Here is a 27873-nt window from a genome sequence, read left to right on the forward strand (position 1 = left end):
AAGATGAGATTTAGGTGGGGACACAGCCAAACCATATGATTCCACCCTGGTCCCTCCCAAATCTCATGTCCTCACATTTCAAAACCAATCATGCCCTCCCAACAGTCCCGCAAAGTCTCAGCATTAACTCAAAAGTCCACAGTTCAACGTCTCATCTGAGACAAGGCAAGTCCCTTCCACCTATGGGCCTGTAAAATCAAAAGCAAGTTAGTTACTTCCTAGACACAATGAGGGTACAGGTATTGGGTAAATACACCATTCCAACTGGGAAAAATTGGCCAATAAGGGGGCTACAGGCCCCATGCATGTCAGAAATCCGGCAGGGCAGTCAAATCTTAAAGCTCCAAAATGATCTCCTTTGACTCCATGTCTCACATCCAGGTCTTGCTGATGTAAGAGGTGAGTTCCCATGGTCTTAGGCAGCTCCACCCCTGTGGCTTTGCAGGGTACAGCCTCCCTTCCAGCTGCTTTCACAGAGTGGCATTGAGTGTCTGTGGCTTTTCCAGGTGCACAGTGCAAACTATTGGTGGACCTACCATTCTGAGGTGGAGGGATGGTGGCCCTCTTCTCACAGTTCCACTAGGCAGTCCCCCAGTTGTTGCTCTGTTTGGGGGCTTCAACCCCAAATTTCCCTTCTGCACTGTTCTAGCAGAGGTTCTCTGTGAGGGTCCTGCCCCTGCAGCAAACTTCTTTCTGGACATCCAGGCATATCCATACAGCCTCTGAAATCTAGGCAGAGGTTCCCAAACCTCAATTCTTGACTTCTGTGCACCCACAGTCTCAACCCCACATGGAAGCTGCCAAGGCTCGGCACTTGCACCTTCTGAAGCCATGGTGTGAGCTGTACTTTGGCTCCTTTTGGACACAGCTGGAGCAGTTGGGATGCAAGACACCAAGTCCCTAGGCTGCACACAGCAGGGGGCCCTGGGCCTGTCACACAAAACCATTGTTTCCTCCTAGGCCTCCAGGCCTGTGATGGGAGGGACTGCTGTGAAGACCTCTGACATGCCCTGGAGACATTTTCCCCATGGTTTTGGGGATTAACATTCGGCTCCTCATTACTTATGGAAATTTCTGCAGCCGGCTTAAATTTCTCCTCAGAAAATGGGATTTTCTTTTCTATCACATTTTCAGGCTGCAAATTTTCCAAACCTTTATGCTCTGTTTCCCTTTTAAAACTGAATGCCTTTAACAGCACCCAAATCACCTCTTGAATGCTTTGCTTTTTAAAAATTTCTCACACCAGTTACCCTAAATCATCTTTCTAAGGTTCAAAGTTCCACAAATCACTAGGTCAGGGGCAAAATGCTGCCAGTCTCTTTGCTAAAACATAACAAGAGTCACCTTTCCTCCAGTTCCCAACGAGTTCCTCATCTCCATTTGAAACCACCTCAGTCTGGACTTTATTGTCCATATTGCTATCAGCATTTTGGGCAAAGCTATTCAACAAATCTCTAGGGAGTTCCAAACTTTCCTACATTTTCCTGTCTTCTTCTGAGCCCTCCAAACTTTGCCAACCTCTGCCTGTTACCCAGTTCTAAAGTCCCTTCCACGTTTTCAGGTATCTTTTCAGTAGCAATCCACTCTACTGGTACCAATTGACTGTATTAGTCTGTTTTCATGCTGCTGATAAAGACATGCCTGAGACTAAGGAATTTACAAAAGACAGAGGTTTAATTGACTTAGAGTTCCACATGGCTGGGGAGGCCTCACAATCATGGCAAAAGTCAAGAAGGAGAAAGTCACATCCTCCATGGATGGCAGCAGGCAAAGAAAGAGAGCTTGTGCAGGAAAACTTCCATTTTTAAAACCACCAGATCTCGTGAGACTTACTTACTACTATGAGAACATCACGGGAAACGCCCAGCCCCATGATTCAATTATCTCCCTCCAGGTTCCTTCCATGACACGTGGAAATTGTGGGAGTTCCAATTCAAGATGAGCTTTGGGTGGGGACACAGCCAAACCATATCATTATTGAATTTGATTTGCTGAAATATTGTTTTACATTTTCGTATCTAAGGTCATGAGGATCTGTAGTTTTTGTATCTTGTCACATCTTTATCTGGTTTTGGTATTGTGGTAATGTTGGTCTCACAGAATGAATTAGGGCATTTCACATCCTTCTGTTTTCCGGACTAGATTGTGAGAAATTGGTATTATTTCTTCCTTCAGTGTTTGGTAGAATTTATCAGTGAAGTCATCAGAACTTTACCGTTTTGTTTGTGGGAACATTTGAAGTCAAAATTCAATTTGAATTTAAAAGGTACAGATTATGTCATTTGTGTTATTAATTTCTTCTTGTGTAAAGTCTGACAGCTTGTGTCTTTTAAGAAATTTGTCCATTCCATCTAAGTTGTAGATTTTATTGGCATGAACTTGTTCATGTTTCTTATTGTTTTAATACCTGTAGAATTTATGGTGATACTACTGCTCTCATTCCTGATATTGGTAATTTATATCTTCTGTCTTTTTTCCTAATCAGTCTGGGTAGAGATTTATCAAGTTAATTGATTTGCCCCAAAAGCTAGCTTTGGTGTCATTGGTTTTCTCCATTGTTTTTCTATTTCCTATTTCATTGATTTCTACACTGAAGTTAGCCTCCAGGGAAGGTAGATCACTCACTGCCCATGGATGGGAGCCACTGGTTCACCATGTGGTCGGTGGTGGAGAAACTCATTCTCAGGGGGCATGAGGTGGTTGTAGTCAGGCCAGAGGTGAGTTGGCAACTGGGAAGATCACTGAATTGCACAGTGAAGACTTCTTCAACCTTATACACCCTGGAGGATCTGGACCAGGAGTTCATGGCTTTTGCCAATGCTCAATGGGAAGCAGAAGTACGACGCTTATTTTCTCTATTAATGAGTTCATCCAAATGTTTAGAATTTAATTTTTCACATTGCAGGAGTTTGTTTAATGACTGAAAATTAGTAGAATACTTAAAGGAGAGTTCTTTTGATGCGGTGTTTCTGGATCCTTTAGATATGTGTGGCTTAATTGTTGCCAAATATTTCTCCCTCCTCTCGGTGGTCTTCGCCAGAGGAATACTTTGACATTACCTTGAAGAAGGTGCACAGTGCCCTGCTTCTCTTTCCTACAGTCCTAGATATGTCTCAGGGTTTTCGGATGCTGTGACTTTTTATTATTATTATTATTTTTATTTATTTATTTATTTTTGAGACGGAGTCTTGCTCTGTCACCCAGGCTGGAGTGCAGTGGCGTGATCTCGGCTCACTGCAAACTGCACCTCCCGGGTTCACGCCATTCCTCTGCCTCAGCCTCCCAAGTAGCTGGGACTACAGGTGCCTGCCACCACGCCTGGCTAATTTTTTTTTTGTATTTTTAGTGGAGACGGGGTTTCACCGTGTTAGCCAGGATGGTCTCGATCTCCTAACCTCGTGATCCGCCCGCCTTGGCCTCCCAAAGTGCTGGAATTACAGGGGTGAGCCACCACACCCAGCCTGGATGCCATGACTTTTAAGGAGAGAGTAAGGAACCACATCTTCTACTTAGAGGAGCATTTATTTTGCCCATATTTTTTCAAAAATGCCTTAAACATAGCCTCTGAAATTCTCCAAACACCTGTCATGGCATATGATCTCTACAGCCACACATCAATTTGGTTGCTGCGAATGGACTTTGTTTTGGAGTATCCCAAACCTGTGATGCCCAATATGATCTTCATTGGTGGTATCAACTGCAATCAGGGAAAGCCAGTGCCTATGGTAAGTCATTGCTCCTTTAGCACATTAAAAGTATTCTGGATTTGAATATTTAAAAAGATTCCTTACGGAACTGGGATTTGACATTTGTGTTTGTTGCATCTAAAATTTCTTTTCTGTGTAAAAAATTATTTTGTGCCATCCACGTGTTTGTTGGTTAGCAACTTTTATATAATGGCCTCGTTAATATGTATGTGTATACGATTGGTTAATTGCTCATAATTTCCACTGCATTTTTAAAATTTTGAAACAGAGTATTGCTATGGTGCCCTGGCTAGACTCAAACTCCTGGGCTCAAGTGATCCTCCTATCTAAGCCTTCCAAGCAATTATGACTTTTTTAGTATTTTTGGAAAAGTATTTAAAAGCACAATAAGAAATGAAAATTTCATTTTTAACTAACCTGTACTACCTGCTGCAGTAAAATGTTCTTTGCAGTTTTGTATGCATGTGTTTCCATCTGTTGAAATTATATATAAGCATATATGTAAATATTTATACTTATTTTATGAAAATCAAATCAACTATCAGGCTGGACATGTTGTTCTTTACTATGCGTTTTTACTTGCCAGTAAACCAGAGACATCTTCACAGATTTGACATGTTCTTTTAATAATTGCATAAAAGTCTTTACTTTGGATGCAACATAGACACAAGCTTTCCCAGGTGTTTTTCTGCTAAAGATTTGGCTAACTTCTTCAAAACAACAATGATAAGCAGATGTTATCTTTCTTTGACCCTGAAGAAAGTATAAAGCAGAATGCCCTTAGCCACCCAAAAAACTGTTACCATGATGTTTGGTCTTGTCCAGTCTGCTTTTGATTTGACTGGATCACTTTCATCTCTTGGTAGCCATTGCTTTGCTTGTGCTTTGTCTTCATTATCATACTGGTAAATCTATGTTTCATCTTCTGTTACAATCTTTGAAGAGATACTTCAAGGTTTTTTGTTTGTTTGTTTGTTTTGAGACAGAGTTTCACTCTTGTTGTCGAGGCTGGGGTGCAATGGTGCGATCTTGGCTCACCACAACCTCTGCCTCCTGGGTTCAAGCGATTCACCTGCCTCAGCCTCCTGAGTAGCTGGGATTATAGGCACATGCCACCACACCCAGCTAATTTTGTAATTTTAGTAGAGGCAGGGTTTCTCCATGTTGGTCAGGCTGGTCTCGAACTCCTGACCTCAGGTGATCTGCCTGCCTCGGCCTCCCAAAGTGCTGGGATTACAGGTGTGAGCCACCGTACCTGGCCAAGGTCTGGATCCCACTTGTTTATAATTTCCATTGAAGGGTTTGTTCTTGTCTGCAGCTGATCTGGCTGCAATGATTTTGGCACCCAACAAGTAGAAAATTTGTTCAACTGAAATTTTTGTCAGAATTGTGTAAACTGTCCTGACTGAGATATCTATTGTGTTGGCTATTGTTTCTGCTGTTAATTGTCAGTCTTCTTCAGTTAGAGCATGAGCAAGATGAATTGTTTCCTTGCAAATTGGTATGGATGGTCTGCTGGTGTAGGCTTTATTTGCAACCTTGTCCTGTCCCTTCTTAAAAGGAATTACTCATTTGTAAACTGCAAATTTCTTTTGACCATTTTTCCCATTAACTTTTTTTTAAAGCATCAGTGATTTCACCATTCTTCCACTCATATCTCAGCATAAATTTTATGCTATTGCTTCAATTGCTGCAGAATTCATGTTGTTTTGATGGGGGCTTTTTTCCAACTGATGTCCTATCCTTCTTAGTGCCTCAAACTAGATCCTATTCAGACATGTTTTAACAAGTTAGTAAAAGTTTGTTTGGCACAAAGAAATTTGAAATCCATGCTTAAGTTTTTCATAATATGAATTTTCATGAATTGTTTGATGATCCCTCATCTATTACTTTTTTAGCAATGGACCATGCAATTTTGGCTATGTTCTGGCTTCTTACAAGGTTCAGTAGACTTTGTAACACAGTTGTATGTCTCACACATCGGCAGCTGTTTGGTAAAGGATTGACTTTTAGCCAACTCATGGGAAAATGAAATAATGTAAAAAACAGGAAGACTACAGTTTTAGACCTTTCAAGTGAGGCATGGCTTTCAGCTCTTGGCAAGAACAGGCGAGGAGATGCAAGCCTCTACAAGGCTAGACTTTTCAAAGTGCTTCTCTCCCCTTTACCCTCCTTCAGTTACAGCACCAAGCACCACCCAGGTATTACCTGCAGCCTCACCCTCTACCCAGTTGTGGGATCCTGCCACTTCCTGAACCCACACTGAGTTCCTTGTGGCTCACAGGGTCACCCAGAGGGCTTCCGAGATACGGAAAGCTATGTGTGATTTTATATCACCTATCATGTTAAGATATGTATAAAATAGGAAACATATTGGCCATATATCATTTTATATATTTTTGGTTTTACATGTCTAAAAAATACATGTTTTTTTGTATGTATTAAAGGATAGGTATGTATAAGAGGTTTTATAGAAGTGGAAAGTTATATTTTTTGCATATCTTTATGAATTATAATAAAGGAAGGAAAATTCTCAAAGAGGAATTCAGATATCAAAGAGTGCCCTTTGACAAAGAGCCTTGGTTACAACATACCTACAAAAGTGAACTGTCATTGAAAGACCTATGGACACTGGATTTCTCTTTCCTTATTTAGAAGGGCAGGCTGTGTCTTGGAAAAGCATACAGTTTGTTGTATCTTGCTGGACAACAGGAGTCATAGTCTGAAGTGTCTGATGAGAAGGAAGCATCACTTGATGGAGTGTGCATCTGTGCCTGTGTGTGTCCACGCGTGTTTGTGTGTGTGCATGCACACATGTGTCAGCATGCAGTGTCTCAGATCCTACATAGGGGTTTTTCCTGAAGGTCTCCAGTAGCAAAAACTCATTGAGTCTATCCAGGGGAATTACATCCAATGCTGTAATTAAATACTTTAACCAAGATAGCAGATCATCATTCAAGAGAACATCAAGATAGTTTTAATTAAGAAAAAAAAAAGGAATCACTGCCAGGCTTTTTTAGTTTTTGGTGAGTTCCAGCAGAATTGATGACTAGGTCCAGTAGGAAGGAATTCAGGATTACTCTTTACCATCCAGGGTGAGTGTAGCTCTGGAGAACTGGGGATGGGAGGTGACTGCACAGCAAGAAAAGATCTGGGCTTCCCCCATTGCTCTAAGATCTGGTTCCATTGTGAGATTCAAATTAAGAGTAAGCTGTTAATGGGCAAGTCCAAGGCCTCTCACCAGGATTATTTATTTCAACTTTTTTTTGTCAAAGTTTTCAAATGTATAGCAAGGAGAGACTACAGTGTAATGAGCACCCATATATCCATCTTTGTGTTACATAATTTTCAATATTTTATTATACTGATTCATGTATCTGCTCTTTTGTTCTTTTTTTAAAAATAAATTTTGGCTATAATTTTTTAATGGAAATGCTGGAGATATCATTCTATCCCCAAATACTTCACTAAATGTAAGAAATAAGGAAAAAAGGAAAATTTGTTACATAGCCACAATATCATTATCATTCCTCACAAAATCAATAACTCTTTAATATTGTCTCACTCATAATGCATAATGAAATTTCCCCTAATTGTCTCAAAAATGTCTTGTACATGCAGATCAGTAGAACGGAGTTGAGAATCCAGATATAAACCCATACATCCTTGGCCAATTGATTTTTACTGTGGTGCCAAGACTGTTCAAATGGGAAAGAATAATCTCTTCAACAGAGGTCGCTGAGACAGCTGCATATCCACATGCAAAAGAATGAAGATGCACCCTTATATGCAAAAACTAACTTGAAATGGATCAAATAGCTAAATAGAAAAGCTAGAAGTGTAAAAGTTTAGAAGGAAACATTTGGGGAAGTATTTATGACCCAGATTTGGAAATGGTTTCTGTGATGTGACACACACATTGTTGTGTATGAGAAACAACAACAACAAAAAACACAGACATCAAAATAAAACACTTTTGTGTGTCAAGGACACTATCGAGAGAGTGAAAAGTGAACCCACATGGCCTCTCTAAGATGTGCAAGTAAACATGTACGTGCCTGACATGGAGGCTCCTGGGAGGCAACCACAGTCCCAAAAGACCTGAAATTTCAAAATCCTGAATGTTAAGAGCCTGAGAGATCAACGTCCTACAAATGTAATTCCAGAAAAAATAACTTTAAAAATTATTTATTTGAAAGATAATCTGTTTACGTTTTAAAAGGGGATTTATTTGAAAAACATATAAAAACACGACAGACCACTTCATAGGCCACTTTACACCATAAAATAGGTAATAATAACATACAGGTATCTTTGCAAGCGTAAACCCTCAGGTGTACTAATGACCTTCATATAGGTGTATCAATTGTGAGAAGATGAATCATATTCTTAAAGTAATAGGTTAAAAAAGGAAAAGTATCAATATTTATTACTGTGGTTGGTAATCTTGTGCACTCAGGTTTGCAGCTTTGATCATCTGAAATACCATGAAAAATGACCTGAGACTTATCATGAGGTCAGTCAGAAACCTCTATGGGTCACCACCGCATACACAGTTGCTTAAAGTGCCCAAGTCTTGAGAAATTTTGTTTTGTTTTGTTTTTTTGAGACAGAGTCTCGCTGTGTTGCCTATGCTGGAGTGCAGTGGTGCGATCTCAGCTTACTGCAACATCTGCTGCCCGAGTTCAAGCGATTCTCCTGCCTCAGCCTCCTGGGTAGCTGGAATTACAGATGCCCACCACCACAGTCAGCAAATTTTTGTATTTTTAGTAGACATGGGGTTTTGCCATGTTGGCCAGGTTGGTCTTGAACTCCTGACTTCAGATGATCTGCCCTTCTCAGCCTCCCAAAGTCCTGGGATTACAGGCATGGGCCACCACGCCCGGCCAAGAAATGTTATCTTTCACAGATGCAGATGTACAAAAGGGACATCTCTTCATTATTGAGGACATTTCAACATTTGTACGTACATGCCTAATGCTTACACACTTACTCTTGTGCTAATGCACTTCCATGGAGTCAAATTTGTGAGCATAAAATGAATTAGAATTCTCCATAAGTCTATACACAGTCTCTGCCTTCAGTATTGGAAATGATATGAAGATGAAATACATAGCATAGCAAATTGTAAAAATAATGCTGACAATTTAACCTTGTGAAAAAACCTAAAAAGAAGAAAAAGTAAAAGAAAAAAAGGAAAAAAACCTCCAAATTAACCTATTCTGTGATTGTGATTTTTGGGATTTTAGCTGTTAGAGAGTTTAGATTTCAGGGAGTTAGACCTTAGGGATTTGGATCCTTAGGGAATCAATATTTCAGAATTCAACCTTCAGGATTATGTGTTTTGGGGTTATGTCTTTCAGGATTGTGATCCAAACCCTATAGCATCTTGTTTCTTAGCATAACCTGTACTAATCGTAGATATATCTCTGTACTCCAGCAGAGCATCATAAAATTAAGTAGTTTACAGCAGAGAGTCTCAACCTATCAGTGATTAAGGAATAGAAAAAAACGTTTTCTGCAGTTGATTATATATTCATAATTGTTTGTAATATATAACAAAAATGAAAAGCTAGAAAGTGAAATGAAATAAACCACAGCCCTATAAAATGCAAAACTACTGATGATTGCTTGGCGACATAGCAACACCAATTGCTACAGGAATTTCTAAGCATTTCCTGCAGGGTCTGCACCCATGCTGAGGTGGTTAGGTAACACAACGAGCTGCAAACCACATCTTGAACAGACTGTTTTAGACCCAGTCCAGTGGCTCTATGTGAGTAGTGTTTAATCAGAAATAAGGCCCAGCACAGTGGCTCACGCCTGTAATCCCTGCACTTAGGGAAACTGAGGTGGGCGGATCACCTGAGGTCAGGAGTTCGAGATCAGTCTGGCCAACATGGCAAAACCCCGTCTCTACTAAAAATACAAAAATTAGCACAGTGTATGGCGGGCATCTGTAATCATAGCTACTCGAGTCTGAGGCAGAAGAATCACTTGAACCTGGAAGATGGAGGTTGCAGTGAGCCGAGATCATACCACTGCACTCCAGCCTGGGCAACAGAGCAAGATTCTCTCTCAAAAAAAAGAAAGAAAGAAAGAAAAAGTAAACAGAATACTAAAGAAAGAAAGAAAGAAAAAGTGAACAGAATACTTTCTGTTTTGTTAATGTGCTAATTACATGGTCACAAACAGTGACTAATTTGTGATCACCAGGGCAAAGTCTATTATCAGCTACCTGTTTTCCTTGTAACCTTGTGTTTTGGGAACCTAGCAACTCTACTCCCCACTAAGTGACAACCCATGCAGGTTTGCCCAGATTATTCCCAGTTTAACACTGGAAGTCTCACGTCCTGGGAGACTCTTCATTCCCCAAGGAGCAGGGACAGCAGGTCACTGTCACTGGAGCACTGGAAGCTGGCCACATCATTAGCAGATTCAGAAGGGGCACGACTTAAGGAGGCTCATGCTTCTCTTGTCTTCTGCCTTAGGCTGTCATTTCCAATGGGTGACAAGTTCCTTCCATGCAGAAGCCAGGCCAGGAGATAAAGTCATCTTGTCCTAGAAAAACTGTTAGAAAGAAGGGAAACTGTCTAGTGTGTTTCGCCAAAAGAGTTTCACAGACTCTTCTCTTGTAGGGGATATGGGGGTGGGTGATCACTGTCCTGGTCTCCCTGAAGCAAGGACGCCTCTCTGGCCTCAGGGTGCCTGTCAGGCAAGTCTCTCCTGTCCCTGGAGGTTCACAGAGCCCCATCCCTGCAAGAGCAATGCTAAGTGGGGTTGGCTTTGAGCCCCAGCCATTCTCTTAACAATTCTTTTAGTTAAGTATCAGTTCCCCCATCCCCTCACTCCAGCATTTTTTGCCTCTTGCTATGATCAGTTTTCTCACTTTCACTTTTACACCTCTGATCACTGAAAAATTACAGAATTATAAGTTTGGAAAAGGAGTCTATATTTCTTGGAAAAGGTTACAACCTTCAAGGTGGCCATCTAGCTGGCTGGGAAGCATGACCTCTGGCAAATACCAGAGACAGGCCCTTGAAAGGAGAAGGGATGGGGTAGGAGCTTTATGCTGAACAAACAGGGTAAACATACATATTCACCAGGTTACAGAAGGAGCTATGAATATTTATGAAGGCCATCCTGACTCATGCGTATTGAACACACATGCATGTTACATATGACCCGTGTTCACCCTGGGGTGGAGACATCATATTTAAATGGATTACAATTAGGCCCTATACATCAAAAGGTCTCTTCAGGGCACAAAGGCACTCAAATTCACAGTCTCCGTAAACTGGCCAGAACCAGTCTGTGATCACCAGTCACTGGTCTTCTTACCAGGAGAAAGTTACTGAAATCAGCCTCTTGTCCAATGAAAGCAGTATTTGTGGCTTATGGAACAAGGAATGGACGTCAGTTAGTCAGTGTCCGGTGGAGGTGCACTTGTTTAACATTGTTTTTCTCTAGACCTGTGCTTATTTAGCTGCTAGAGAAAAAGAAAAACTCTGTGGCAGTTGGAACATAGTTTATTCTTTAAGTGTAGGCGCCCATGACTCAACTCTTGCCTGGCGTGGTTTGAGGTCTTGTGTGTAGTTTTGTATCTGATTGCCACAAAAAGTCCACTGAGTCCATCTCATCTCTATTTTAACACTAAAGTGGGTCAGTTGTGTTTAAACCACAAAAGGGAGGGAGTGTGACGAGGCGTGTCCAGCCTTCTGTCCCGTCGTGGCTGTGACTCAGTTTTGAAGGTTTCTTTGGGGTCCCGCTGGCCAGGAGGGTTCGATTCACTTGTTGTGGGAGACGGGCGGCACTTAGTATTTTCTTTTCAGTTTACACGTTCCTGGGCATCCCTATTAAGATGTGCAGATAAACACGCACATGCTTCATGTGGCATCTCCCTTAGTTAAACATCTTTTTTTTTTTTCCTTTCCTGTGAGTCTTCCTGAAACAGGTGAGCCCAGGTGGAGCCTCCGCCTGCGTTAGGACCTAACCTTTCTACGTCTTTATGAAATCCCTGGTGTCAGTTACTGCTGCTTCCCCTCACCAGCTTCTTTCCTTTGGTCTACCCTAAGAATGTGATACCCAACACAATACACCGTCTCTTTGGCCCACTCAAGACATTCTGGTGATGCCCTGTGGCCTGCTGGCCCCCACTAGCTATCAAGGTCCCCCATCATCTCACCTTTCCTGGCTCATGGGCTTTATTTTATGCCACTCTTCATGCTCAGAAGCACCTGGCGGTTTAGTTTTTTTGTGTTGCTCTAAAGGAATACCTGGGGCTGGGTAATGTATAAGGAAGAGATAATATCTGGCCCTCAGTTCTGCAGGCTGTATAAGAATCATGGTACCAACATCTGTTTCTGGCAAAAGACTTGGGCTACTTCCACTCATGGCAGAAGGTGAATGTGGAAGGTGCTGATCACAAGGTGAGAAAGAAGCAAGAGAAAAAGGAGGGGTTGCCAGGATCTTTTTAACAATCAGTTCTTGCAGGAGCAATAGGACAGGAACTCACCCATTATCGGGAAAAACATACTAGGTCATTTGTGAGAGATCCATCCCTGTAACCCAGATACCTCCCACTAAGCCCCACCTCCAACATTAGGGATTAAATTTCAACACTTGACTTGAGGGAGTCAGATATCTAAACTATATCATTTGATATGGTCAGTCTTTTTGATTGCAGCTATTCTAATGGGTATGTAAATTAAATTGCAATTTTAATTTGATTTTCCTATTTAAATATGATGTTGAGCATCTTTATGTGTGACTGTTTGCCATCTGTATATGTTCTTTGGTAAATGTTCAGGTCTATGCCACTTTTTAAGAAATTGGGTTTTCTCTTCATTATTGAGGTTTAAAAGTTATTTATATATTCTGGATATTTATACTTTATCAGTTTCTGGGCTTTTTTCCATGAAACTTTTTATTTTAGAAGAAATTTAGATTTATGCAAGGTTGCAAGAACTAGCACAGAGAATTTTCATATCCTGTGCCTAGTTTCCTCCTCTTTTTTTTTTTTTTTTTTGAGACAAAGTGTCACTCTGTCACCCAGGCTGGAGTGCAGTGGGGCAATCTTGGCTCACTGCAACCTCTGCCTCCTGGGTTCAAATGATTCTTGTGCCTCAGCCTCCTGAGTAGCTGGGATTACAGGTGCACACCACCATGCCCAGCTAATTTTTGTATTTTTAGTAGACACAGGGTTTCACCATGTTGACCAGGCTGGCCTCAAACTCCTGACCTCAAGAGACCCACGGACCTTGGCCTCCCAAAGTGCTGGGATTACAGGTGTGAGCAATGGCACCCATCCTCCCCTATGGTTAAATGTTACGTTACTATAGCATATTATCACAACTCATTAACCAACATTTGATACATTATGATGAACTAAAGTCTGTGTTCTCTGCAGATGTCATTAATTTTTACCTAATGTCCTTTTTCATTTCTAGGATCCCATCCTGGATACCAAATGACATTTAGCCCATCACGCCCCCTTCATCTCCTGTACCGTGTGACAGTTTTTCAGACTTTCCTTGTTTTCGATGACTTTGACAGTTTTGAGCAGTTCTGGTCGGATGTTCTGTAGAATGTTTCTCAGTCTTGGTTTGTCTGATGTTTTGATCATGGTTAGACTGGGGTTATAGGTTTTAGGAAGTAAGACCACAAAGGTAATGTCTTTTCTTGCTTTCTTGACTATGGATAGCCAACTCTTGAAAAGAGTAGTCTTTTCTCCACTGAATTGTCTTTGCACTTTTGTAAAAACTTGGTTGTTCATACTGCTAAACATCTATTTCTGGACTTTCTACTCTGTTCCATTGATCCAGTTGTGAAATATGTGATAATTATAGCTTTGTAATGTCTTGAAATGAGTAGTATTAGCTCTCTAATTTTTTTCAAAGTTGTTTTTGCTATTGTAGGTTTTCTACATTTCTGTATGAATTTTAGAGTCAGTTTGCCAATTTGCACAAAAAAAAGCCTGTTGGGATTTTGGTTGAAATCATATTTAAGTTACAGTTCAACTGGGGAGAAACAGCATCCTAACAATTTTGAGTTTTCCAATTCTTGAACATATCTCTATATTCAGATCTCTCCTCAGTGTTTTAGTTTTCAGTGTAGTCTTTCACATCTTTGATCAGATTTATCCCTAAGTATTTCATGTTTTTGATGTTAAGTGGTATTTTCATTCAATTTGCAATTGTTCATTGCTAGTACAGTTGACCCTTGAACAATGTGGAGATTAGGGATACCAACCTCGCAGGTAGTCTAAAATCCACATATCATTTTGACCCCCATAACTTAACTATTAATAGCCTACTGTATAGCAGAAGCCTTACCAATAACGTAAATAGCCAATGAACACATATTTGATATGCTTTATGTGTTATATACTGTATTATTGTAATAAAGTCAGCTAGATAAAAGAAAATGTTATTAAGAAAATTTTAAGGTTTGAGAAAAAATTTTAGGGTTGAGAAAAAATGTATTAAGTATTCATTAAGTGGGAGTGGATCATCATAAAGATCTTCCTTTTGATTGTCCTCCACTGAGTAGGCTGAGGAGGAAGAGGAGGGGTTGGTCTTGCTTTTTCAGGGATGGCAGATGAGGAAGAGGTGGAGGAGGTGGAAAGGGAGGCAGGAGAGGCAGGCGCACTCGATTTAACTTAATGGAAATACATCATAATTACTGTCTGACATTTTTGCTCTTTCAGTTCTTTAAAAATGCTTGATATAGTATGAATTCTTCTTCACCATTTGCTTTAGTTTCAGTGCCCATATCATAGAAGGGTACAATTTGCAAAAGAAGTCAAAAGCAGTCTTCAATAATCGGAATCCTTCTGCGAGATTGTCTAATGTCAATTTATTTTCTGACACTGCTTCTTCTGTATCTTCTTCCTCATTGTCTGGTACTGATTCAAAAGCACTCATCTCATCAAGTCATCTTCTGTTAATTCCTCAGGTGTGGTGTCTATTAGCTTTTAAGTATCTCCAAGATCTCTGTCTTCAAACTCTTTATGCCCACCTTGTTTTTCTTGCCTGCCATATCCACAATTTCTTTCATGAGTCCCTTGATTGGCTCTGTTTTAAGTCCTGTGAAGTCACGCACAACATCTGGACACAGTTTTCTGCAGCGATAATGTATTGTTTAGGGCTTGATGGCTTTCACAGCTTTTTCTATACAACAAGGACATCTTCCACAGTGTAATCCTTCTAGATTTTCATGATGTTCGCCCCGCTGACATTCTCTTCCATAGTGTTGACAATCCTTTCCATAGAAAACCATGTGTAATGAGCCTTAAAGTGCCTTGTAACCCCTTGTTCTAATGGCTGAATTAGAGATGATGTTTGAGGACATGGAGACCACTTTGGCTCCTTTTGTGTTGAATTCATGGGGTTCTGGATGGCTAGAGGCATTGTCCAATATCAAAAGTAATTTAAAAGACAGTCCTTTAGTGGCAAGGTATTTCTGATTTCAGAGACAAAGCGTTGGTTTTCATGGAACCAGTTTGGAAAAAGTGTTTCTGTTGTACTGGCCTTCTTGTTCTACAACAAAAAGACTGGGAGCTGGCGTTTATTTTTTCCCTTAAAGGCTCAAGGATTAGCAGCTTTATAGATAAGGTTATTCTTAATCATAAATTGGACTGTATTTGCATAAGACGACAGAGTTAGTCTATCTCTTCCTGGCTTAAATCCTCGTGCCCGCTTCTCTTCCTTACTTATAAATGTCTTTTGTGGCATTTTTTTTCTCTAGAATAGGGCACTTTTGCATGAATTAAAAACTGGCTCAGGCAGATATTCATTCTCCTCAATGCTTCTCTTCATGGGGTCTGGGAAGTCACCTGCTACCTCTTGTTTGGCAGAAGTTGCTTCTGTTATCTTGAGATTTTTAAAGTCAAACCTCTTTCTAAAACTAGCAAACCATCCTTTGCTGCCATTAAATTCTCCAGCTTTATATCCTTCAGTTTTATTTAGCTTTATGTTGTCATATAATGACTTTGTTTTTCTCAGGTCATATTAGAGTATATAGGTATGCCTTTCTTATAACCATCCTACACCCACATAAAAGCTGCATTTTTTATAATAAAATTTTATGTAGATAATCATGATACAGAATTACTCTTTGACAAATTATCTATGGATGTAATGACTCTAGTTTCAGACTTTTTTTTTCTGAAATATGTGAGCGTTCCCCAACAGTCTGGTCTATTTTCCTACCTTAATTTTCTACTTTTGGTCTTGAATTTGTTGATAGGGCACAGAGGACTTCCCATGAGGCTGTAAAGAACTTATTTCTCTGTGTGGGCTGTGCACACCATGGTGCTGTCATTACCATTACCACCAGGAGACTCCTTAAACACTTAGGATATATGATAGTTTTCACTTGGTTAAAAAATCTGCCAGTTTCTCAGTAAGACCTTTCTCACTATTAATCTTTAACCCACAGATGGAATCCTAGTTCTTTTTATCCATTAACTCTTTGAATATCCTTCTTTCTACCTTGGCAGTGGAGTCCATTGAGATTGAAAAGCTGCATTTTTAATATGAGATAAAAAGATATTTTGGAAAAAGTGCAAGGTTTGAAGCCTGCTGGCATCACTGCAGTGAAGACTTACTGAATTTTCTTTCTTTCTTTCTTTCTTTCTTTCTTTCTTTCTTTCTTTCTTTCTTTCTTTCTTTTTAAACAAAGGTCCTTATCTGGATTCTTTTTTTTTTTTTTAATGATCGCCAACCACAGCTGCAGTCCTCAACCTATGGTACATATCAAGCAATTCAACTTTTCTTGTAATATCATGAATTTCTCTGCTTCATGGGAGCACTTGAGGCATCACTAGCGACACTTTGTATGGGTCCTATGGTATTATTTAGAGTTTCTGATATGCACCAAACATGACAAACAATGCATGAGAACTGTGAGATCAGTGTTTACTGTGATACACAATTTACTGGAGGGATGAACTGTACACATGGAGATGATCAGCCTCACACGGCGTACTGAGTGGATACTTGCAACACTTGAACTCCCTGCAATAGCAACAGGGGGTGGCTATGAAATTATCACAATAGTACAGTAGGCACAGTTAACTCTATGCAGTTATGACTTAATGCTGCAAACTTACCTTTGTTACTTTTCTCTTGACTACAAATGGTGTCATGTATAGTCTGTAAGTGTTTGTGTGCATAAGTTTTGATAAATTTTAACTATTTAAAATAGATTTGTGTCTATAATATGGTAGTAAATGATAAAATAGACTCGTTGCTATATATATTTTAGGCATTCCTGACATACTCAAGTTTTTCTTAATTTTTTCACTATTGTAGGCTATGTGGCTTATCTGCAAGTTTTTCAATTTGTTGCAAATCTCCATAACATTTTCTAATATATTTATTGCAACAAATCTGCCCATAAATGGACCAACACCGTTGAAACTCTTAATGTTCATGAGTAACCATTTATATAAATGAAATTAACTTTTACTTATTGTATCCTGCAACCATGCTAAACTTACTTATTTGTTCTTGGAGGTTGTTGTAGAGTTTGTTGGAATTTCCCCATAGATGATCATGTTGACTGTGAATGAGATCCTTTTACTTTTCAGATCTGGATATTTTAAATTTCTTTTTCTTGTTTGACTGCATTGAATAGAACAATGTTGAATGGAAGTAGTAATTAGCCCCCATTCTTGGCATGTGTCTGATCTGAGGAGTGGAGCATTCAGTCTTTCACCATTAAGGATGATGTTAGCTGTGGGTTTTTCCAAGATGCCCTTCATTAGCTTTGGAAACTTCTCTTCTTTTCCTAGTTTGCTGAGAGTTTTTTTTTTTTTTTGTCAGATATGAATTTTGGACTCTGTCAAACACTTTTTCTGTAACTATTAAGATTGCTACATGGTTATACAGTTTTAGTTTATTTATATGGTATGTTACTTAGATTTATTTTTAAAGCTTATTTATTTTATCATTAATTATGGTGAAATACACATAGCATAAACCTTGTCATCTTCACCACTTTAGGTGCACAGTTCAGTATCCAGTGTATTCACATTGCTGTGCAACCAACACCACCATTCATCTGCAGAACTCTCTTCATCTTCCCAAACTGAAGCTTGGGACCCATTAAACAATAATTGCCCATTCCCCTCTCCTCCAAGCCCTGGTGTAACCACCCGGGGGATTCACCTTGCCTGCTGCCTAGACAGAGTCAATATAACAAGACAGGGGAATTGCAATAGAGAAAGAGTAATTAATGCAGAACTAGCCGTGTGGTAGACCGGAGTTTTATTATTACTCAAATCAGTCTCCCCAAGCAATTTGGGGAACAGTTTTTAAGGAATACTTGGTGGGTTGGGGGAATCCAGTAATCCAGGAGTGCTGATTGGTCAGGGATGAAATCTTAGGCAGTTGAAGCTGTCTTCTTGCACTGAATCAGTTCCTGGGTGGGGGCCACAAGAGCAGATGAGCCAGTTTATTGATCTGGGTGGTGCCAGCTGATCCATCAAGGACAGGGTCTGCAAAATGTCTCAAGCACTGATCTTAGGAGTGGTTTAGGGAGGGTCAGAATCTCGTAACCTCCATCTGCATGAATCCTAAACCATAATTTCTAATCTTGTGGCTAATGCTAGTCCTACAAAGGGAATCTAGTCCCCTGGCAAGAAGGAGGTCTGCTTTGAGAAAGGGCTGTTATTGTCTTTGTTTTAAACAACTATAAAATAAGTTTCTCCCAAAGTTGGTTCAGTCTATGTCCAGGAATGAACAAGGACAGCTTGGAGGTTAGAAGCAAGATGGAGTCAGTTAAGTTAGATCTTTTTCACTGTCTCAGGCATAATTTTGCAAAGGCGGTTTCATTTGCAACCACCATTCCTCTTTTTGATTCTATGAATTTCTCTATTTTAGATACCTCATACAAGTAGAATGATATAACTTCCAACTTTAAGTCATTTCTTTGTCCTTGCATCTAAGTGTAGGTAGTTACAAGCAGCCAGGCCACATCTGGAATACTTTACTGCTTAGAAATTTCTTCTGCCAGATACCCTAGGTCATCACTCTCAAGTTTAAAGTTCCACAGATTCCTAGAGCATGGACTCAATGCAGCCAAGTTCTTTGTTAAGGCATAGCAAGGGTGACCTTTGCTCAAGTTCCAAATAACTTCCTCATTTTCACATGAGACCTCATTAGCCTGGCCCTCACTGCTGATTTTTCTATCAGTATTTTGGTCACAAGCATTTAACCAGTCTCTAAGAAGGTCCAAGCTTTCCTTCATCTTCCTGTCTTCTTCTGAGCCCTCCAAACTCTTCAAACGTCTGCCTGCTACCAAGTTCCAAAGTTGCTTCCAAATTTTCAGTATCTTTATAGCAACATCTCAGTACCAATTTTCTATTAGTACTATTTTCTGTTGGTACCAATTTTCTACCCTTCATTACGTTGCCATAAAGGAATGCCTGAGACTGGGTAATTTATAAATAAAAGAGGTTTAATTGGCTCAAGATTTTGCAGGCTGTACAAGCATGGCGCTGCCATCTGTTCATATTCTGGGGAAGCCTCAGGGAGTGTTTACTCATGGTAGAAGATGAAGCAGGAGCATGTCACATGACAAAAGCAGGATCAAGAGAGAGTTGGTGGGGGAGGTCCACACACTTGACCATATCTTGTGAATACTCACTGACTATTGCAAGGACAACACAAAGCCATGAGGGATCCACCCCCATGATCCAAACACCTCCCACCAGGCCCCACCTCCAACATTGGGTATCATATTTCAACATGAGATTTGGGTGGGGACAAATATCCAAGCTATAACACTGAACTGTGATTTGACATTTTCATTTGTCTCATTTGGAATTTTTTTCCAGTTTCATGAATCCTTTTGTGCCACTTCATGGACCTCTCAGTTAACAAATTTTATAATTGTAGATCATATCCAAGTTGCATTTAAAGATACTCTTTTTGGGAAAATACCAAAAACCACAGTGAGAAATGAAACTTCCCTTTTTTGCCAATTCTATAGAAAATGCTCTTAGTAGTTTTGTGTGCATCATTTTCATTTTTTGAAATTATTTTATGCATATGCAGATATCTAATGCATATTCTCACACCTATTTTGTTAAAATGTAGTACCAGGCTGGACATATTGTTCTTTACTTTGCATTTTTCATTTGCCAATAAATTATAGACATCTTTAGAGGCCAATACAGACTGATTTGACAAGTTCTTTCAGTAATGACATGAAAGTCTTTACTTTGGATTTAATGTAGTTTTTTCAACCAATTAATATTGATATAGATTTAGGCATTTTCCAAATTTGTCTTTTTGCACATTAGTATGTAAACACTCTTTAATACTTTCTTTACATTACTATATTTCCATATTCGTAGCCTCTGATGAATTCTTCATCATGTGCATCCCCAGCAGCTTTACTTCTCTCATTGAACCCTGACTGCTATAGAATGGAAGTAGTGGCTGTGGCAAAGTAGTGCCTTGTACACTTTTTGACTTGAAATACAGGAGGCAGAAGCAATAGGAATGAGGGTAGAGGCTAGACCATAGCTCTACTGGAGTTTCTGCAGGAAAGGCAAGGTAGGGCAGGAGAAACAGTTTAGCATTGGTTGGTTTGAATAATTTCAGTGGGCTCTGAGGTCTAAGGGCAGGCCCTTTGCTATCTGTAATAATTGGCTGACCCAGGGAGGTGCACTGCATCCCTACCAGATAGGGATTTTTAAGATGCAAAAATATAATAATATACAGAAAATTTAAAAATACACACAATACAGGAAGTATTTTATTCTTATGGATAAATACCCAACAGTGGAGTAGTTGTGATCTATGGTAGGTGTATGGTTACCTTTTTAAGAATTTGCCAGACAATATTTACAAGCGGCCAGACCAAGGTGCCCTCCCACCACCTGCATATGAGAGGTCCAGCTGTTCATACTCACCAACACTGGATGTCTTAGTCCGTTTGCATTGCGATAAAGGAATACCTGAGGTTGGTTAATTTATAAAGAAAACATGTTTATTTGGCTGGTGGTTCATTCAGGCGATACAAGAAGCATGGCACCAGCATCCGCATCTGGCGAGAGACTCAGGCTACTTCCACTCATGGCAGAAGGTGAGGGTGGAGGGTGCTGATCACATGGCTAGAGAGAAGCAAGAGAAAAAGGAGGCAGGTGCCAGGCTTTTTTTTAATAATCAGTTCTTGCTGAAACTAATAGATGGGAAGTTCACTCATTACTGGGAGGGGGCACTAGGTCATTCATCAGGGATCCACTCAAACACCTCCTGCTAAGCCCCACTTTCAACATTAGAGATCAAATTTCAACACTTGATTTGGGAGGGACAGATAATTCAGCTATATCATTTGATATGCTCAATCTTTTTCATTGCAGCTATTTTAACGGGATGTGGATTAAACCTCAGTTTTAGTTTGATTACCCTAATCATTAGTTATCTTGAACGTCTTTACATGTGCCTGTTTGCCATCTGTGTACCTTCTTGGGTTATTCTCTGTTCAAATCTTTGCTCATTAAAAAACATTTTTTAAAATTGAATTTTAAAGATTATTTATATTCTGGATATTTATCCTTTACCAGTCTGTAGATGTTTTTTTTAAAGTAAACTCTTTTTGTTTGTTTGTTTTTATTTTTTTATTTTTATTTTTTATTATTGTACTTTAAGTTTTAGAGTACATGTGCACAATGTGCAGGTTAGTTACATATGTATACATGTGCCATGTTGGTGTGCTGCACCCATTAACTCGTCATTTAACCTTAGGTATCTCTCCTAATGCTATCCCTCCCCCCTCCCCCAATCCCACAACAGGCCCTGGTGTGTGATGTTCACCTTCCTGTGTCCATGTGTTCTCATTGTTCAATTCCTACCTATGAGTGAGAACATGCGGTGTTTGGTTTCTTGTCCTTGTGGTAGTTTGCTGAGAATGATGGTTTCCAGCTTCATCAATGTCCCTACAATGGACATGAACTCATCATTTTTTATGGCTGCATAGTATTCCATGGTGTGTATGTGCCACATTTTCTTAATCCAGTCTATCATTGTTGGACATTTGGGTTGGTTCCAAGTCTTTGCTATTGTGAATAGTGCTGCAATAAACATACGTGTGCATGTGTCTTTATAGCAGCATGTTTTACAATCCTTTGGGTATATACCCAGTAATGGGATGGCTGGGTCAAATAGTATTTCTAGTTCTAGATCCCTGAGGAATAGCCACACTGACTTCCACAATGGTTGAACTAGTTTACAGTCCCACAAAAACAAGAAATGGGGAAAGGATTCCCTATTTAATAAATGGTGCTGGGAAAACTGGCTAGCCATTTGTAGAAAGCTGAAACTGGATCCCTTCCTTACACCTTATACAAAAATTAATTCAAGATGGATTAAAGACTTAAATGTTAGACCTTAAACCATAAAAACCCTAGAAGAAAACCTAGGCATTACCATTCAGGACATAGGCATGGGCAAGGACTTCATGTCTAAAACACCAAAAGCAGTGGCAACAAAAGCCAAAATTGACAAATGGGATCTCATTAAACTAAAGAGCTTCTGCACAGCAAAAGAAACTACCATCAGAGTGAACAGGCAACTTACAGAATGGGAGAAAATTTTGGAATCTACTCATCTGACAAAGGGCTAATATCCAGAATCTACAATGAACTCAGACAAATTTACAAGAAAAAATCAAACAGCCCCATCAAAAAGTGGGTGAAGGATATGAACAGACCCTTCTCAAAAGAAGACATTTATGCAGCCAAAAGACACATGAAAAAATGCTCATCATCACTGGCCATCTGAGAAATGCAAATCAAAACCACAATGAGATACCATCTCACACAAGTTAGAATGGCAATCATTAAAAAGTCAGGAAACAACAGGTGCTGTAGAGGATGTGGAGAAATAGGAACACTTTTACACTGTTGGTGGGACTGTAAACTTTTTATTTTACAATAAATTTAGATTTAAAGCAAGGGTGCAAAAAATTGCACTAAGAATTCCCATATATCTTTTGCCAGTTTCCCCTATTGCTAAATGTTAGTTTACTGTGCACATTTTTTTTTATTATACTTTAAGTTCTAGGGTACATGTGCACAACATGCAGGTTTGTTACATATGTATACATGTGCCGTGTTGGTTTGCTGCACCCATTAACTCGTCATTTACATTAGGTATTTTTCCTAATGCTATCCCTCCCCCATACCCCCACCTCTCGACAGGCCCCGGTGTGCGATATTCCCCGCCCTGTGTCCAAGTGTTCTCATTGTTTAAATCCCACCTATGAGTGAGAACATGCAATGTTTGGTTTTCCGTCCTTGCGATAGTTTGCTCAGAATGATGGTTTCCAGCTTCATCCATGTCGCTACAAAGGACATGAACTCATCCTTTTTTATGGCTGCATAGTATTCCATGGTGTATATGTGCCACATTTTCTTAATCCAGTCTACCACTGATGGACATTTGGGTTGCTTCCAAGTCTTTGCTTTTGTGAATAGTGCCCCAATAAACATACGTGTGCATGTGTCTTTATAGTACCATGATTTATAATCCTTTGGATACATACCCAGTAATGGGATGGCTGGGTCAAATGGTATTTCTAGTTCTAGATCCTTGAGGAATTGCCACACTGTCTTCCACAATGGTTGAACTAGTTTACACTCCCACCAACAGGGTAAAAGCGTTCCTATTTCTCCACATCTTCTCTAGCACCTATGTACATTTATCACAACTCATTAATCAACACTGACACATTATGTTGAACCAAAGTCTATGTTTTCTTTAGATGTCATTAATTTTTACCTAATGTCCTTGTTCTTTTCTGGGATCCCATCCAGGATACCGCATGACATTTACTCATCACATTTGTTTCATCTCCTCTAGCCTGTGACAGTTTTTCAGAGTTTCCTTGGTTTTGATTACTTTGTCAGTTTTGAGCAATTCTGGTGAGGTATTCTGTAGAATGTTCCTCAGTTTGAGTTTGTCTGATGTTTTGATTATGGTAACACAGGGGTTATAGGTTTTTAGGAGGAAGACCACAAGGTAATGTGTTTTCCCGCTTTCTTGCGAATGGATACCCAACTGTTGAAGAGTCATCTTTTCCCCACAGAATTGCCTGTGCACCTTTGAAAAAACTTGGTTGCTCATACTTCTATTTCTGGGTATTCTATTCTGTTCCAATGATCTTTTTGTGAAATATTTGATTACTATAGATTTGTAATAAGTCTTGAAATTAGGTAATAATTGCTCTCCATTTTTTTTTCTATTTTTTAAAAGTTATTTTTGCTATTGTAGGTCTTTTACATTTCCCTATGAATTTTAGAATCAGTTTGCCAATTTGTACAAAAAGATAGCCTGCTGGAATTTAGATTGGGGTTGTATTAAATTTATAGATCAACTAAGGAAAAATAACATTTTAACAATTTTGAGTTTTCTGATTCATGAACATATCTATTTATTCAGGTCTCTCACCAATGTTTTGTTGTTTTCAGTGTACAATCTTTCACATCTTTTGTCAGATTTATCTGTTAGTATTTTTTATTTTTGATGCTATTTAGGTGCTGTTTTCATTCCAATTTTCAATTGTTCATTGCTAGTACATTTGACCCTTGAAGAATGTGAGGATTGAGGTACCAACCCCCGAGCAGTAAAAAATTAGCATAGAAAGGTTTTGTGGGTTTCTTTTTGTTTTTTATTTTTGAGACAGAGTCGTGCTGTTTTGCCCGGGCTGGAGTATAATGGCGTGATCTCAGCTCAATGCAACCTCCGCTTCCCGGGTTCAAGTGATTCTCCTGCCTCAGCCTCCAGAGTAGCTGGGATTACAGGCATGCACCACCACCTGCAGCTAATTTTTTGCATTTTTAGTAGAGATAGGGTTTCACCATGTTGGCCAGGCTGGTCTCCAACTCCTGGCCTCCCGTGATACGCCCACCTTGACCTCCCAAAGTGCTGGGACTACAGGTGTGAGCCACCACGCCCAGCACACATAGAATTTTTGACTCCCTAAAAATTTAACTATTAATAGCCTACTGTGCACTAGAAGCCTTACCAATAACAGAAACAGTTGCTTAACACATATTTGGCATGTTATATGTGTTATATACTGTATTATCATAATGAAGTCAGCTAGAGAAAAGAAAATGTTATTAAGAAAATCTTAAGGAAGAGAAAATTAAGTATTCATTAAGTGGAAGTGGATCATGATAAAGGTCTTCCTCTTGATTGTCCTCCATTGAGTAGGCTGAGAAGGAGGAAGAGGTGGGTTGGTTTTGCTGTTTCAGGGGTGGCAGAGGGGGAAGAAGTGGAGGAAGAAGGAGGAGAGACAGGTACACTTGGTGTAACTTTACAGAATTACATCATAATTATTATTTGACTTTTTTGCCTTTGCAATTCTTTGAAAATGCTTTTTTACAGTACTAGTCCTTCTTCCCCATTTGCTTTAGTTTCAGTGCCCATTCATGGAAGGGTTTGTGTTGTAAAATAAGTCAAAAGTAGTCTTAATAATTGGAAGCCTTTGCCAAACTGTTTAATAGGAATTTGTTTTCTGGCATGGCTTCTTCTATGTCTTCTTTAGTATCTGGTACTGATTCAAAAGCACTCATCTCCATCAAGTCATCTTCTGTTGATTCCTCTGGTGTGGTGTCTATTCATTCTTGAATTTCTCACAGATTCATATCTTGAAAGACCATATCCCCCACCTTTTGTTGCTGAATTAGAGATGTTGGGTTTGCAGGCAAGTAGACCACTTTGACACCTTCAGTGTTGAACTCATGGGTTCTGGGTGGCTAGGGGCATTGTCCAAAAATCAAAAGAACTTTGAAAGACCGTCTCTTACTGGCAAGATATTACCTGACTTCAGGGACAAAGTAATGATAGAACCAATCCAGAAAAAGTGTTCTTGCCGAGGCCTTCTTGTACAACAAAAAAACTGGCAGTGGGTATTGATCTTTTCCCTTTAAGGCTTGGAGGCTAGCAGGCTTATGGATGGGGGCAGTCCTATTTGTAAACCCAAACATACAAACATACAAACTATGTCAAAGGCATAGCATGGGTACTGTGAAAGGAGGGTGAAAACACAAAGTTGACATCACCTCTGACCTCAAGGAGTGCTCAGCAGACTGAGAGAGACAAGTACATATTTTCCTGAAGGAGGGCACTGGAGTGATGGCGTGTTTAGAATGTGCAAGTTGAGCGGTCACTGAGAGGCAGCTCAGCAGAGTGCTCTCGCAAGGATTGGGCGGGCAACTTCCCACTGCGTGCGATGTATCTTAGGAAAGCCATTTAAAATAGGAGACGGTTACTTTCCATCAAGTCCCTGGTATGGTCCATGGAAGCAGGGTTGTCAGTCTCATTTCAGCATTTTAGAGGCTTCTCAGGGTTTGGAAATGGAAGAAGAGAAGCAGCAATATGTATGCATTGCAGAGACACAGGCGAGCCCCAATTTAGGAGGTTAGGAGGTCAGTGCTAAGGGCCTTGTTTTCTTTGCTTAGAGCATGAGTTGCCATCTTCTCTGGACAGAGAGTATTTGGTTGCCTAAAGGTAAAATCTAAATTTTGCTCTGGGACAAATTCCAAAAAAAATTAGCTTTAATCAAATTTACTTTTACTTTATCTTTCTGAACCTTCAAGGTCCAAAAGCATTGGTTAATAATTCTGCTTCTAAACTTAACATTGCAGCACAGGGCATGTTCTGCCCCCAAGGCAAAGACCATAAGCTACTGTTGTCTGGAAAACATACAAATAGATATCTCAGCAAAAGCTACTCATATATTCTTGTTCTTTTGGGTAAATCATTGTCAGTGACTGATTTTTTTTTTATGAAAGGATAAAAACACGCCCTCTATTGGGGTCAGGTTTTGTGCTGGTATTTCTCCCACCTACTGTATCATAGGAGCTTAGATTCCCAGCTGCTTGCTCTCAGCTGCAGTTCTCTGATGGCTTGCACAGGGTGGACCAGCCCCCTTCCTCTATGTGTGTGTCTGCTGCTGACCTGTGGCTTTGCCGAGGCAGGGAAGCTACTGGTAGTGCCCATGGATGGGAGCCACTGGTTCACCATGAGGTCGGTGGTGGAGAAACTCATTCTCAGGGGGCATGAGGTGGTTGTAGTCATGCCAGAGGTGAGTTGGCAACTGGGAAGATCACTGAATTGCACAGTGAAGACTTATTCAACTTCATATACCCTGGAGGATCTGGACCGGGAGTTCAAGGCTTTTGCCCATGCTCAATGGAAAGCACAAGTACGAAGTATATATTCTCTATTAATGGGTTCATACAATGACATTTTTGACTTATTTTTTTCAAATTGCAGGAGTTTGTTTAAAGACAAAAAATTAGTAGAATACTTAAAGGAGAGTTCTTTTGATGCAGTGTTTCTCGATCCTTTTGATAACTGTGGCTTAATTGTTGCCAAATATTTCTCCCTCCCCTCCGTGGTCTTCGCCAGGGGAATACTTTGCCACTATCTTGAAGAAGGTGCACAGTGCCCTGCTCCTCTTTCCTATGTCCCCAGAATTCTCTTAGGGTTCTCAGATGCCATGACTTTCAAGGAGAGAGTACGGAACCACATCATGCACTTGGAGGAACATTTATTATGCCACCGTTTTTTCAAAAATGCCCTAGAAATAGCCTCTGAAATTCTCCAAACACCTGTTACGGAGTATGATCTCTACAGCCACACATCAATTTGGTTGTTGCGAACGGACTTTGTTTTGGACTATCCCAAACCCGTGATGCCCAACATGATCTTCATTGGTGGTATCAACTGCCATCAGGGAAAGCCGTTGCCTATGGTAAGTTATCTCTCCTTTAGCACCTTAAGAATACTTCACCTTTGGAAATTAAAAAAGGATTCTTTACTGAACTGTGATTTGACATTTTCATTTGTTTCATTTCAAATTTCTTTCCAGTTTAACAAATTATTTTGTGCCAATGCGTGTACTCGTCAGTAGCAAATTTTATAAAACTGCCCTTCTTGAAGATATGTATTTATAACTTATAAAATTGTGGAACATATTCAGCCTACATTTTTAAGTACCATGTTTAGAAAAGTACCAAAAACCACAGTAAGAAATGAAACTTCCCTTTTTTGTTAATTCTATATGCCCGCCCCAGAGGAAATGGTCTTAGTTTTGTGAACATTCTTTTAATGTTTTTAAAAAAGTACTTTAGGTATAT

General features: G+C 39.8%; 3 protein-coding genes, 1 pseudogene and 1 further gene across 3 annotated transcripts in view; all 5 read left to right on the forward strand.

Moving 5' to 3' along the window:
* Positions 1–27873, forward strand: part of UGT1A (UDP glucuronosyltransferase family 1 member A complex locus) — a 187861-nt gene that overhangs the window by 59863 nt on the left and 100125 nt on the right.
* Positions 1–27873, forward strand: part of UGT1A8 (UDP glucuronosyltransferase family 1 member A8) — a 155668-nt gene that overhangs the window by 27669 nt on the left and 100126 nt on the right. The window lies entirely within an intron of this gene.
* The window catches only part of UGT1A10 (UDP glucuronosyltransferase family 1 member A10), a 136853-nt gene that overhangs the window by 8854 nt on the left and 100126 nt on the right, over positions 1–27873 (forward strand). The gene's annotated exons all lie outside the window — the stretch shown is intronic.
* UGT1A13P (UDP glucuronosyltransferase family 1 member A13, pseudogene) lies at positions 2628–3725 on the forward strand (annotated as a pseudogene).
* The window catches only part of UGT1A9 (UDP glucuronosyltransferase family 1 member A9), a 101403-nt gene continuing 100126 nt past the window's right edge, over positions 26597–27873 (forward strand). The window contains exon 1 of the mRNA NM_021027.3: positions 26597–27488. Coding sequence (NP_066307.1) covers positions 26634–27488 — 855 coding nt within the window. The 5' untranslated portion in view covers positions 26597–26633. The remainder of the gene's footprint in view (positions 27489–27873) is intronic.

The sequence above is a fragment of the Homo sapiens genome, chromosome 2 (genome assembly GCF_000001405.40).
Source record: "Homo sapiens chromosome 2, GRCh38.p14 Primary Assembly".
NCBI classification, from domain to species: domain Eukaryota; kingdom Metazoa; phylum Chordata; class Mammalia; order Primates; family Hominidae; genus Homo; species Homo sapiens.